This window comes from Homo sapiens, chromosome 18, assembly GCF_000001405.40.
Source record: "Homo sapiens chromosome 18, GRCh38.p14 Primary Assembly".
Classification (NCBI taxonomy): domain Eukaryota; kingdom Metazoa; phylum Chordata; class Mammalia; order Primates; family Hominidae; genus Homo; species Homo sapiens.
The window spans coordinates 31,508,651-31,521,985 of record NC_000018.10 but is presented as its reverse complement, the minus strand read 5'-3'; the positions used below and the strand labels follow the sequence as shown (position 1 = coordinate 31,521,985).

Sequence of the window (13,335 nt, the reverse complement as noted above, 5' to 3'; positions counted from 1 at the left end):
CAGGTGCTTATCAAAATCACATACAGTTGACCACAATATAACATTTAACTGGATGAGGACATAAGCGTGAATGGGATATAACAATAGTAAAAACAAGATGAAGGCAAGGCTGAGGGTAGAGTCCTGAAAAATTGCTGTATAAGGGCACAGATTTGTTTATAATAGTATTAGTAGCCAATACAAAGAAAGTAACATGAGCAGGTACATGATCCTGATATCTATTAAGATACAAACAAATCAGGAGAAGCGTAACTATTCCTTACATCATGGTCAAAAAGAAATCTCTCATTCGGGTCCTCATGAAGAGCACTGTGTTGAACAATGTTGTGAATAAATATTACAGTAAAAATAATACAACTTACAGGTCAGCAAACTATAGCCAAAGCTGTAGGGCCAAAGCTAACCAGCCACCTGTTTTTGTAAATGAAGTTTTATTGGACCACAGCTAGGCTCATTTGTTTACATATTGTCTATGGTGCTTTCCTGCAGATAGCAGAGTTGAGTAGTTGCTACAGAGACCTTATCCATCACATTAATCTACCCTATCTGTTCTGAGGGTAAAAGCAATGGCATGTAAAGTCCTTTAAACCTATAAGGAAAGCAGTTCTGAACTGCTTTCTTATCATTTGTTCTGTAGGTAATACTCAACTTTCATTAAGATATGAAATTTAGTGTTTATTTACAGTGGGGATAAAGTAATCTTAGGTATTTATTTATTAAAAAAAAAAAAAAAGACTCTTACGTGCTGCACTCAACTCTTCAACAGACCCAACAAAGACATCCTGTGTGAACACTGGTTCGTTGTCATTGATATCAAGAACCTTAATGCGTAGCTCTAAGGGTTTCTCTACATTGTTTCCTCTTGCATCCAAAGCGTAACCTGTTAGCTGAAATCATGACATAAATAAGATTAGATTTAAGCTAAGAAAACTAAATTACCATACTATGAAAAAATAAAACAAATGACACTTATTATGACAGAAAAACTACAAACTAATAAATCTAAAATTATTCTTCTTACCAGAAAAAATGGTGTTTCTTCTCGATCAAGAATGCTGGTAACATTCAGTTCTCCAGTATCTTTGTTAAAGACAAATATACCAAAAGGTGGCTCTGTAATCCCTTTTCCAGTGTATTTGTAAGTAATTTTGAGTCCTCTTTCTTCTGCAAGATCAGAATGTATCTAACATAAAAATAACAGGAATGTTTCAGGTTGAACTCTCTGTAATTTACTAGATTTGATCTTAGCCAAAAGCCTAAGAAGTGATTCTCTATAATTTACAGGTAAATATTTTTATGGACAATTTCCTTCTGAAGTTCTTTGGTAATACAGGCCAGAGATGACATGACTTGGACTAGGGGAATGGCAGTGGAGTTGAAGAGAAGCAGCAGATTTGGAATATATTTTTGGAATAGAACTGATAGTGTGTGGTACATTTTTGGCTTGAAAAACTGGAGAGAATTATAGCATCAATTACCAAAATGGGTAGAACTTATGAAGAAAAGCTTTGGGGGGAAAAAAATGAAGGGTTTATGTTTGTGCATGCCAACTTTGAAATATAGAGTAGCAACACTATCACATAATTTATCAAAAAAATTGGACCCCTTGAGAGTGAAAACACAGATATTAATTATTAAGCCAGGAGAGCAGGCATAAACCACGACTGTCTCAGGCAGATGAAGATGGTCCCCCTACCTAGTAATAGACACCAGTTCATCTTGAAAATGACATTTTATGACATCCTCTTTTGAGCACTGAACATTTTGTGTTACCAGTGCCAAATCCCTTTACTCTTAGTTAAATCAAAACTCAAAGTTATCTATATTTTTGCCAATGATGCTGCATCTTCCGGAATGGGAAAGAGAATCTTAAAGTTGATACTTTATGCTAAAAAGTAAGCTCTGCTAATTTTCAGATATATCTTGAATATTTAAAAATTCTGTAAGCACATCATACATTTTCCTTAAATCTTAAAGTAGACATAAAAGTCCTCTCACACCACATTTTAGTCATATGCATGTATTTCATGTTCCTCTTTAGGAGGTACCTTGGCAATTGGATTCTTCTTGGACAGATCCTCTCCCTCCCGAAGAGCCACGGGGGCGGTGATCCAGGCGCGCTTTTGCCGCACTAAATGAGGATGTTTAGGAAGCAGCTTATTTTCATTTCTTGTGCTTAAGACCTATAACAATAGAATATTGCCAAAATTTATTATGTGTCATAAATATAGAACATTAGTATGCTGTCCTATAACATAATAAACTTTTAAATAGTGCAAATTTTAAGGTATGCTTCGTATTTCCTATGAGGCTTCATTGTCTAAAAGGGAATATATATATTCTAGCAAACTGCATAGGGCCTCAAGAGATTGTCTCCAAGCTAGTAAAAGTGTAGGGTTTTTTCTGGTTTATTTTTTCTTTTGAGACAGGGTCTTGCTTTGTCACCCAGGCTGGAGTGCAGTGGCATGATCTTGGCTCACTGTAGCCTTGACTTCCCCGGATCAAGCCATCTTCCTGCCTCAGCCTCCTAAGAAGCTGGGATTACAGGCATGCACCACCACATCTGGCTAATTTTTGTATTTTTAGTAGCTATGGGGTTTCACCATGTTGCCTAAGCTGGCCTTGAACTCCTAGACTCAAGCCTCAAGCAATCCGCCCGCCTCAGTCTCCCAAAGTGCTGGGATTACAAGTGTGAGCCACTGTGCCCAGACAGTAGAATTTTGTTTTTAACTGTAAGAAATGATTTCCCAGAGTGAGAGTTTGAAAAGTTTAAAGAATCATTTAGTAGCCTTACAAATTGGCAAAGTAAAAAATAACAGATCATGTCAAAAACGTTTTTTCTTATTAACTGAAAATGAAGTTTCATTTTTCTGTGGTGGTTTGTGGTTTAAAAATAAATTACTAAATGTTTTTTAAGGCTAAATCTTAGTAATCTATTGATATAAACTTGACTAAAACCAGGGAAACTGCCAGTTAATGAATTTATTGTTTTCAGGATTGGGTAAAGAATTAAATTTCCCATTTCATTTTCAGAACCTTAGGCAGAAAACCATTCTATAAATTTCCAGTTGGGTTTTACAGGTGAATATATATTTTATCCAAGGGAAATTTCAATACAGCTGACCTGGGATCTTAAGATCAGAAATAATCCTTATACTAGGTTTGGTTTATCATTTTACTCATTTTGTTGCTCTATGTAATAGGTATTTTACTTCAAAATATGTACTCTGGTTATCACTAGGTCATTGATTTTTTTTTTTACTTGAACAAAATTTTCTATGACAAAAAATTGAAATTACTTTTTCATTTATACCTCACAAAGTATTCATTAACAGCTTGATTAATATCTTTTATGATTTTTCATAACTATACAGTTGCACATATATACACAGATGCATAAAGGTCTTTTTGCTATAAAAATGGACTTACACTATATATCTTATTTTGCCCCGATTTTCATTCAGCACCTCGTCATGGACATTCTTTCATGTACCATAAATGGTTTTAACATTCACCTATTGGTGGATATTTACATTGTCAAAAACTGCTGCACTGAATACCCCTGGATAAGCTCCTCTGCACTTGTTTGAATGGGAATGGCTGGGTCTAATACAACATGTGTCTTCAATCTAGTAAAGCCCAGTCAACCTGTTTGCCATGGAATTAACCCTCCTGAGTCAGAAGGCAGAAATAATCCCTTTGTTTCCTCACCTGTAAGTGAAGTCCACTTCCAACGTTAAAGCAGATCTGTAAAATAAAATTATTTGATATTTAGCCAATTTACTGCTCAATTCAGTGTGAAAACATTGTTCATGAATAACCTACTGCATTGAATATTATAGACATAAAAAAAGTTTAACCACTACTACTATTCTTTGTCAAGAGGAAACTAATTTTTCCCATTGCCTTCCCTAATGGGAAGTGCCCGAGGAGAAATCTATATTCTCCTGGATCCATACTGACTCCTCCAGAAAACAGTATCTTAAAAAACAAACAAAATAATCTGCCTTGTGAAATCTTAGACATTCTCTCATCCTTTACTCCGCATCCTATGGTTTTTATCTTGTGTTCTCCAGGACCTGCTTACTTTTCCTCGAGGCCACCAGTATGTAATGTACCCCACACCCAGCTAACTCCCACCATCCCTATGGATGTGTGTGCATTATACACACACAAAAAAACACACACCACACACACACGGACAGCCCATGTTCTGACTTCTCGGTTCCTCAGCATCCTCAGTCCCACCAACTCTTTTCTTTGGTTCTTCATAGGCACTGTCACACTTGGGACTTCATCATGACCTAGTACTGTTCTAAATACAGTTATGCTTACTCTTAAATTTGCCCAAAAAACTCCCATCTTGCTTTCTGAATATTTTGCACTGTAAAATAATAATTTTAAAAATTGATGCATTAAAGATGTGCATAGTTTTGGAATACATGTGATAATTTAATACATTCATATAATTTGTAAAGATAATTAGTATACTTGGGATGTCAATTACCTTAAATACTTGTCTTTTCATTATGCTAGAAACATTTAAATAATTCTCTTCTAGCTGCTTTGATATGTATAATAGGTTATTGTAAACTATAGTCACCCTGCTGATCTATCGAACTAGTGTACTTATTTCTAACTAGTGGTCTTATTTCTTCTATCAAACCATATATTTGTACCCATTAATCAATTCTTTTCTTCCCCCACCTCCCCACTACCTTTCCCAGTTTCTGGATTCTATCATTCTATTCTCGATGCCCATGAGATCAAAACTTTTAGCTCCCACATATAAGTGAGAAGATGTTGTATTTGTATTTCTGTGCCTGGCTTATTCAGTTAACATAATGACCTCCACTTCCAGCCATGTTGTTTTGCTGCAAATGGCAGGATTTCCTTATAGTTCATTAATCTCCCTGCTGGCTTCCTTCTTCTCTTGGCTCAATCTGAACCAGCACTTTCTAATATGGTAGCTACTTGTGGCTATTTGGATTTTAACCGCAATTATTTGAAATGAATAATCCAGTTGCTCCACAGCCACATGTGCTAAGGGCTACCCATTTGGACAGGGCAGACAGAAAACATTTCCACCGCTGCACACAGTTCTACCGGAGCAGCTAGCAGACTGCTGCCTGCCACTCTGAAGATGTTGTCAGTGACCACCAGGGAGGCTTCATTTTCATGACTGCTATTCCTGCCTCACTTTTCCTCTCAACTCTAGAAACCTATTATTCTCTTTAGTTCTGACCATGTACTGGCAATATCGCTAGAGGAGGCCACAGTGGCTGAATAGATCCCTTACACATTCATGCTCTCAAATAGCTGCTCTTTCCATGGGGTGGCGGTTCCTTTCTAGTGTGACCATATGTCTGCATTTGCTCAGAAGAGTCTAGGTTGACACCTGCTGTGAGGCATTCCATCTGTTAACAACCCTTTCATCCTCAAAAGTGTGCTCACACTATAAATTATATCGTCACTTTGTCATTGCCTTACCCTTATTGCATTTCTAAAATAGGCATTCCAAACTTTAGGAGATGACTCTAGTCACACCTCTGTACCTATTCACTCTTATGAGATGACCCCATGTATTATTTGACTGAGACTATCTTCAGTCATCCTCTCCTTCCCTTCTTTCCCCACAGAAGAGGTGTCCTGACTCCTTTCCAAGGCAAACCATCGTTTGTGTGCTTTATTTGCAACTCTATTTGTTCTCCCACATTTATCTTCAAGAACCTTAATCCTTCCACTAACCTTTTATCTTCCTTCTCCATTGGCTAATCAATACATTTATTTCCTTCTGATTGGCAAACCAAATATATTTAGGTTTTCCTTATCTTAAAAAAAAAACCAGATCCCTCTCTTGTTTCTGTTAACAATCTATTGCTCTATATCCCTCTCTTACTTATAATTCCAAATTGAAATTATTGTCTATATGTATTGCTCCCACTACTCCACCTTCCATTTATGCATTAATTCACTGGACTCTGTCTTTGGTGTAGCTTTTCTCAGTTGTTTGCCTTTTCCCATCTGCATGGTCACATGGATCCACAAAGCCCTAGTTGGTACATCATGGGAAACAAGGCATTCCCTAAAATTTCAAAGTCTCTTTCACATCCTTTGCATTCATTTGAAAGCTTCCTGTAGGGTCCATTCCACAAGTGAATCTTTCAGCCTCTTTCTTTCCTTTCCATTGTCAGTTCATGTTCTTGGCTCTCCATTCCAAAGAGAAACTCAAGGAGAGCAGATGTTCAGCTTCTAGTGTGGGCTTCTCTGGGGCAGATGAACAATCATGGCTAATTCTCTATTTTATGATCAGATCTATGATCTCTTCTTCATTCTGTCTACTATTAACTTGCCCAGCTAGCAATGGCCAGAGATGTCTCTAACCAAAGTGGTGCTCCCCAAATTTATGTATTTTCAAAGGTGGCATGGTATGAAAAGCAAGGGAAAGCAATGCTGAGATAGATCACTTCTCTCTGCATGTTCCTTGGGTGGGAATTTTTGAAGAGAAAGATCAGTGCCTGGATCAGAGAGGTCCCAGTGTCCACATCATCAGGGAACAGCCTTAAAATTTAGTATATTTAGGCCGGGTACAGTGGCTCACACCTGTAATCCCAGCACTTAGGGAGGCCGAGGCAGGCGGATCATGAGGTCTGATGATCGAGACCATCCTGGCTAACACGGTAAAACCCTGTCTCTACTAAAAATACAAAAAAATATTAGCTGCCCGTGGTGGTGGGTGCCTGTAGTCCCAGCTACTCGAGAGGCTGAGGCAGGAGAATGGCGTGAACCCGGGAGGCAGAGTTTGCAGTCGGCCGAGATCGCGCCACTGCACTCTAGTCTGGGCGACAGAGTGAGACTCTGTCTCAAACAAACAAACAAAAAAATTTAATATATTTCTTGCCCATCCTTCTAACCATCAGACTCTTCTCTTTGATACAGGCCATATTAAGTAGTTGGCTGCACTGAATATTTGCTACTTTTATTCTTCCCTACAATCTTACCGGCCCTAGCAAGAGGGTATAATTTACATGTTATTTTAAGTAAATATTATTATTCTGACCAAGTGTCATGTGTTTTACTAGGATATAAGAAAACGGAAGTAATTTACAGTCCTCTAGTCAAACGTAAATTCATCATATGAGCATCTTCACTGATTTTTATTGGAATTTACTTTCTAGATGTGATTTGCTCAGAAATGCAGAAAATCACATGGTTACCAACAGTGCTTCTTAAACTTTAATGTGTATTTTGTTCACTGGGGACCTTGTTAAAAGGAAGATTCCAATTCAGTAGGTCTAGAGGTCAGCCTTACACTTTGCATTTCTAACAAGGTTTCAGATGATAGCAATGTTGTGGGTTCTCAGACCAAATTTTGAGGAGCAAGATTGTAGAATGTGACATGAAATATCATTTGTTTGTTTAGGTACAAACAACAGTCAATGAAGTCTGCCTTATCCATTGTTGTTTCAGTAGTCAGCACAAGAATTTTTGTTACTCTTGACTGCTAGTATCTCGAAGGCAGAAACTCATAAAATATATTTCATTAATGTATGTATTTTTAACATTAAAATCACTTTAAATTGCAAACATGTATAAAAGCAGAGTGAATAGTAACATGCACACCCATATAGCTAACATCCAGTTTCAACAATTACCTAGCACACATTTCTTTTAAAATATGTTTTTACTTAGGAATAGTTTTAGATTTACAGAAATGTTGCAAAGATAGTACCAGCAGTTCCTTTCTCCAATTTCCTCATATGTTAACATCTTAAATAGCTGCTGTACATTTGTCAAAATTAAGAGATTAACATTGGTGCATTTAGTTAATGCACTGTTAACTAAATTCCATACTTTATTCTGATTTTACCATTTCCCCCACTAATGTTCTTTTGCTGTTCCAGGATCCAATCTACGATTCCACATTGCATTTGGTGATCACTTCTCCTTTATATCCTCTGGTCTTTGACACTTTCCCAGTCTTTGTTTCTCATGACCTTGACGGTTTTGAGGAATACTGGCTGAGTATCCTGCACAGTGTCCTCCAATTTGGGTTTATCTGTTGTTTTTCTCACGATTAGATCAGTATTATGCATTTTTGGAAAGAACATCACAGAGCTGAAGTGCCCTTTCTGTCACACCATACTAGCTGGTGTGCAATAGCCACATGACACCACTGGCTAAGGTACTGATTGCAGTTTCTCCGTTGTAAAGTTACTATTTTTCCCAGTCCCTATTCCATTCTTTGGGAGTGAGTCATTAAGTCTAACCCATCCTCAGGGCAGAGGGAAGCGGGGAGGAGATCCTGCCAGACAAGATGCTTTAGTCTGAATTTCCTTATCTGTAACAGGAGAGTAATACATACTGTGGCAGACATTTTCAATTGTCTAGCTTATTGGCATTTTCTCTCATCTTCAGTGTTCATAAAACTCTACTTTGTACTCTCAGGTAGACCCTGCCTAGCTCATGGAGCTGAATGACTGGCATGACAAAGCATGGTATGTATGCCCATTTACTTTGATATTGGCTGGTTTAGGCATAAATGTGTAAGAGAATTTTGGTCAATGAGGTATCAGGAGACCCTACAAAAGATTCTCCTCACTGATTAGAAGAGAAGCACATGCATAACCTTCCTATTTAAGTGCCTCTGGAGACTGTTGAGTGAGGAGGTGACATTTGGAATAGCTACAGCCATGCTGTGACCATGAGGGGAAAGCTAATGAAATGCTAGAGAAGCCAAACTGAAACCATAAAGGCTTTAAGTTACAGAATCGTTCAAATTTGGACCAACTCTCTCTCTAAACTTTTTCTTACGATTGATATTCAACATTCTTTTCTTTAACCTAGTTTTAGTTGGGTTTTGTTACTTGCATCTGAAAGCCACCTAACTAGGATACATCCATTTTGCAGGGCTGATGTGCAAATTAAAGAAATATATGAAATGTAACTATTGCAGTGACTGGCATTCAATAAACAGAATTTATGAGACATTTCCTCAATTCTAAGTTTTGCATGGTCCTTATCTTAAAATTTCTGCAAGTTTGAATTAATTCATACCCTCAATTTCCTGAGCTTGTAGGATATGTTAAGTAACACAATATTCTTACCCTGTTGGATGCTTACATACTGGGGAGACAAAGACAGACCAGGTTTTGATAAGAGCAATAAAAAAAATTAAAGCAGGGTCAGGATAGTAGAGAGTGACTTGGAAGTGTGGGAAAACTCTCAGAAGGGGCTGCATCTGCACAGAGACGTGAATGGTATGAGGAAGCCAGTCAGGCAGAGCCCTGCAAAAGGAACGCCCAGGCCATGCGGTGGTGAATCAGTGATGATGATGTCACAGGGATAGGCCAGTACCCAGTCAGGGAGAGGACTTTGGGTTTTATCCTGAGTGTGAGAGGAAGCCACTGGAAGCTTTTATGTTTGGAAATGATACAACCAGTTTATGTTTGAAAAAGCTCGCTGGTGCTACTGTATGGAGAACAGGCCATAAAGTGGCAAGAACAAATGTATAGAGACCAGACTGTAGTCATTGCATCATTGCAGAAGCACGTGCAATACATAACACTAGCTTAAACCCTGGGAGTTGCAGTAAAGATGAAAGAAAGTAGATATCTCCAGTGTTTATTTTGAAGGCAGAGGCAACAGAGACCTGTGAATGGAATGAATGAGGGCAAATATAGATGACCCTTAGAATTTTGACCCGGAACACCTGGGTGAGTGAAGGCACCATTTCCAGAGATGAGACAGAATGGGGAGAGGGATGGGGTAAGCTGAAGGTGAGGCAGGAGACAGGGGTGGTGTTGAGGGAGGGGTGAAATGGGAGGTAAGAGCCGTTTTTATGTGTTCTGTGTGAATGGCCTTTTGGATATAGGAGTTAGTAGCTCAGAAAAGAAGTTATGCCCGGAGATAAAAATTTGGGAGTCATCAGTCGGTTTTAGTTAAGGAACTGGGATGCATATTAGAGGTTTTGTACATCTTTAATGTAATGTTTCTTTTCTTCTCTCAAAAGGCTGGTATTAAATTGCTGAGCATCTAGGGAGCCAGCGTGACACAGGCAAGGCTAATCTGCTGTGAATTGGGACAGCGGCTATCAGGGGGATCGTAGGGACTGAAGGGAGCACAAGGGGCCTTCTGGGATGCTGGCAATCTGTTTCTTCACCTCGTTACTGGTGACATGGTGTTTTCAGTTTGTGAAGATTCAGTGCACTCGTGATATGTGCACTTTTCTGGATGTATGTTACACTAAAACATCAGAAGAATTGATGTGCATCTTAAAGTCAAGGTTGTCTTGGAATCTAGGTAAGAGGGTTCTGCTATCTGCATTTTTATAGCACGTATTGCAGTAGCATGCTTTTAGTAAGGTGTTATGGACTGAAATATTTGCTTCATTCATTGTACAAAAAAAGAAAAAAGAACTGCACTAACATTTTGTCAATTGTGGAACTGTCTGTTTATTTGACTGAGCAGTTAAGATCTCAGCCACTGCTTTCTAAATAATTTGGATCTGGTTCCTTAAGATCCTCTATCTCACAGAACACATTCTTAATTTAGACCAATCGTTCTCCACTAGGGGCAGTTTTGCCCTGCCCCGCTCCTCCTGCCACTGGGGATATTTGGTAATGTCTGGAGACGTTTCTGGTTGTCAAACCAGGGTGGGGCTCGAGGTAGGGGAGATAAATGCCAGTGGCATCTAGTGGGTAGAAACCAGAGATGCTGTCAAACATCCTACAATGCACATGATAGCCCTTACAACTAAGTGTTATCTGGCTGCAACTGGCCAAGTGCCGAGGTTAAGACACCATGGCTGCGTTTCTCTGATTGGAAGCTACTGTAATAACCAGGGTCAGGACAGTAATACAAGCTGCAGAGGACTGTGGAGATTCTGTACATCTCTAGTGGGTAGTATACTGCAAGTAACATGACTGGAACAAGCAGAAACTCTCTGCCTTAGTCCTCCATTCCCACTCCCTGGCACTTTTTAAAAAACCTGTCCACTCTGTAAGTTTGAGTCACCTCCTGTGGGGATGCTGTGAAGAGGTTTCAAGCATGGGAGGGGTGGCTGGACAAAATGGCCAATAAGGTTTCCTCCAAACACTAAATCTGTGACTTTTTTTCTCACCAGGAACTTGGTGACAGAAAAATGTCACCTGCAACATGACTTTAAGACTGACGAGGAAAAGTAAGCTGCTAGTTCCTGTATCCAAAGCAGTGTTTTCAGATGAACCAAAAAATTCTGCAAAAGCTTTTCTAATTTGCTAAACTCTAAAAAAAGTATTTTATTAACTAGTTTTGCTGCTTTGAAAAACATGTAAAAAATTTTTCTACCATTGGATCCTGCACATCTTATAAAAACTGGACTTCCTGGTATCTGGCAAAAGATTTTTTTTTTTTTCCTGCAGAGGCATGAGGGAATACCAAACACCATCAATCAATGTACTCTTTGTTTTCAAGGTCAGCACTTTTAGAAAAGACTTTCTGTTCTGAAGTCACCTTGATGAGTTTAAACAAGAATCCAGAAGGACTCATGAGTCACTGGATGACAGCTCCTCCTGGCTGACAGGTTCTCTGTCAGAAGTCTTTCCTTTAAAGTAGAGAATCTTGAAGTGTTCAGTGGTTTTATGGTGAGGTGATCCCTTAAACTTTAATAGATCAGACTAAGAGATACCTTATTAAAAATGGATGTAGAGAAATACAAATTAGTTTAAAACATTATTTCAACTTTCAGTCACTATAATGGCTTCTAATGTCCATTCAGCGAGAAATTACTAGAAGGTAAGCAGTGTGCTCAACGGACTATCTTTAGAACTCAAACACAGAGGACGTGGCACTTGCCAGTGGTTCTTTAAATTCATGCCCACCTCAGGCCCATCATCTAACATCTGTGTTATTTTCTTTCCTTGGTTACTCAACCTTCCAACCAGCAGAATGTTTTATAATTCTTTTGTTTCTCCCTTTTATTGTATAGAAGGTCAAATCAAAAACTGCCCAGAGGATCCCTGGTTTATCCCCAATCCATTCTTAAAGAGCTTTCAACTTTGGCTGAAATAATCTGAAAGAAATAAAATGAGATAAAATAAAGGGAGTGGATGCCACTTGTTTATTTCCTCTGGTCACACATCCTGACTTTTCTATTTGTATTGGCAGAGCTGGTGGTCTGGTCTGTAGTAGCGTCCATAGCCACAAAGAAGGCTCTGTAGTCTACAGTCATAGAAATGTACATGTTCAGAAGAGTTCAAGTGACCCAGTGCAGTCAGGGTGGACCAGTGAGTTTGGTGATCTGCTCTGATAAATCTGACGTGGGTCAGATTTATGTTGGAATTCACCTACTGCACTTTTCTCTTCTTAATCTTATTTTGGGGACAGGAGGAAGAAAAGACAGTTTTTATAACATTTATTTTACGGCTAACCAGCATAACTTATTTAGAAAATTCCAACTTAAAAGTCCAACTTACAGATGATCTAGACATTTATATACTCCTATAGCAGTCTCACTCAACAGCTGATTTAAATATGTAATTATATTTTTCACAATTGCTAATTTAAAAAAAAAGAGCAATATTTTGAACTTTTAATTTTTGAACTCTGAATTTGAACTTTAGATAATAATAAATATTTTAAGTCTGACAGTAATAAAGTACATGACTTACCAAAATCTTTCACCTGTTCTTCGGATGTTTGGGCTAATCTGAATGTAACAAATATGATTTTAGGTGAGTCATATTGAAGTTAGTTACAAAGAGGAAGACAGTTTCTTTGAAAGCTTTTTATTAACTCATAGAATTTTAAAATATGCATTTAGCAATGCTTTGCTACACTTGACTTGTTCATTCATGCTGTGAATTCTTATTTCAAGTAAAGTTTTGTATATTCATGGACAGTTCCTATTTTTTCCCTTGACATAGGGCTTTTTAATATTTAATCTTCTTTTCTACTCCAGTTATTTTTATTTTCTAATTGGGATGTTAACAGTGGTTTTCAAGCTTGAGTGGCATTAGAATCACCTTGATAAAACACAGATTACTGAGTCCCGCCTTAGAGTGTCTGACTCAGTAGGTCTGGATGGGGTCCAAGAATTTGTATCTAACAAGTTTCCTGGGGATGCTGATGCTGCTTGGCCCCAAAAGTGGGACCACACTTTTGGAAACCACTGTGTAAAATCACATGGTAGCATAGGAAAGGGAAGAAGAGGAGAGCCTGGATAATTCATAAACTGGATAATGAGCCCCTAGTTACAGACAGATGTGTGAAAAGATGTGTTCTAAATCAGGCAATTCAGGCCGGGCTCAGTGGCTCACGCCTGTAAGCTCACACCTGTAATCCCAGCACTTTGGG

General features: G+C 38.4%; 1 protein-coding gene across 2 annotated transcripts in view, besides 2 other annotated features; it reads right to left on the bottom strand.

Moving 5' to 3' along the window:
- Positions 1–13,335, bottom strand: part of DSG2 (desmoglein 2) — a 50,832-nt gene that overhangs the window by 27,023 nt on the left and 10,474 nt on the right. The window contains exons 2-6 of one of the 2 annotated variants that reach the window (XM_047437315.1): positions 12,651–12,688; positions 3,712–3,747; positions 2,049–2,183; positions 1,022–1,183; positions 743–887 (exon numbers count right to left, since the gene is read on the bottom strand). Coding sequence is in view for 1 of the 2 variants with exons in the window: in NM_001943.5 (NP_001934.2) it covers positions 743–887; positions 1,022–1,183; positions 2,049–2,183; positions 3,712–3,747 (478 nt within the window). In the remaining variant the exon portion in view is untranslated. The remainder of the gene's footprint in view (positions 1–742; positions 888–1,021; positions 1,184–2,048; positions 2,184–3,711; positions 3,748–12,650; positions 12,689–13,335) is intronic. The other variant, NM_001943.5, reaches the window with a different exon arrangement.
- Positions 5,117–5,660: an enhancer, noted in NCBI's record as "NANOG hESC enhancer chr18:29096289-29096832 (GRCh37/hg19 assembly coordinates)". NCBI's record gives its function as "activates a minimal SCP1, AML or CMV promoter by ChIP-STARR-seq in primed H9 embryonic stem cells {active_cell/tissue: H9 hESC(primed)}" and the evidence as "EXISTENCE:reporter gene assay evidence [ECO:0000049][PMID:30033119]".
- Positions 10,663–10,732: an enhancer, noted in NCBI's record as "active region_13199". NCBI's record gives its function as "activates an Ori minimal core promoter by ATAC-STARR-seq in GM12878 lymphoblastoid cells {active_cell/tissue: GM12878}" and the evidence as "EXISTENCE:reporter gene assay evidence [ECO:0000049][PMID:35858748]".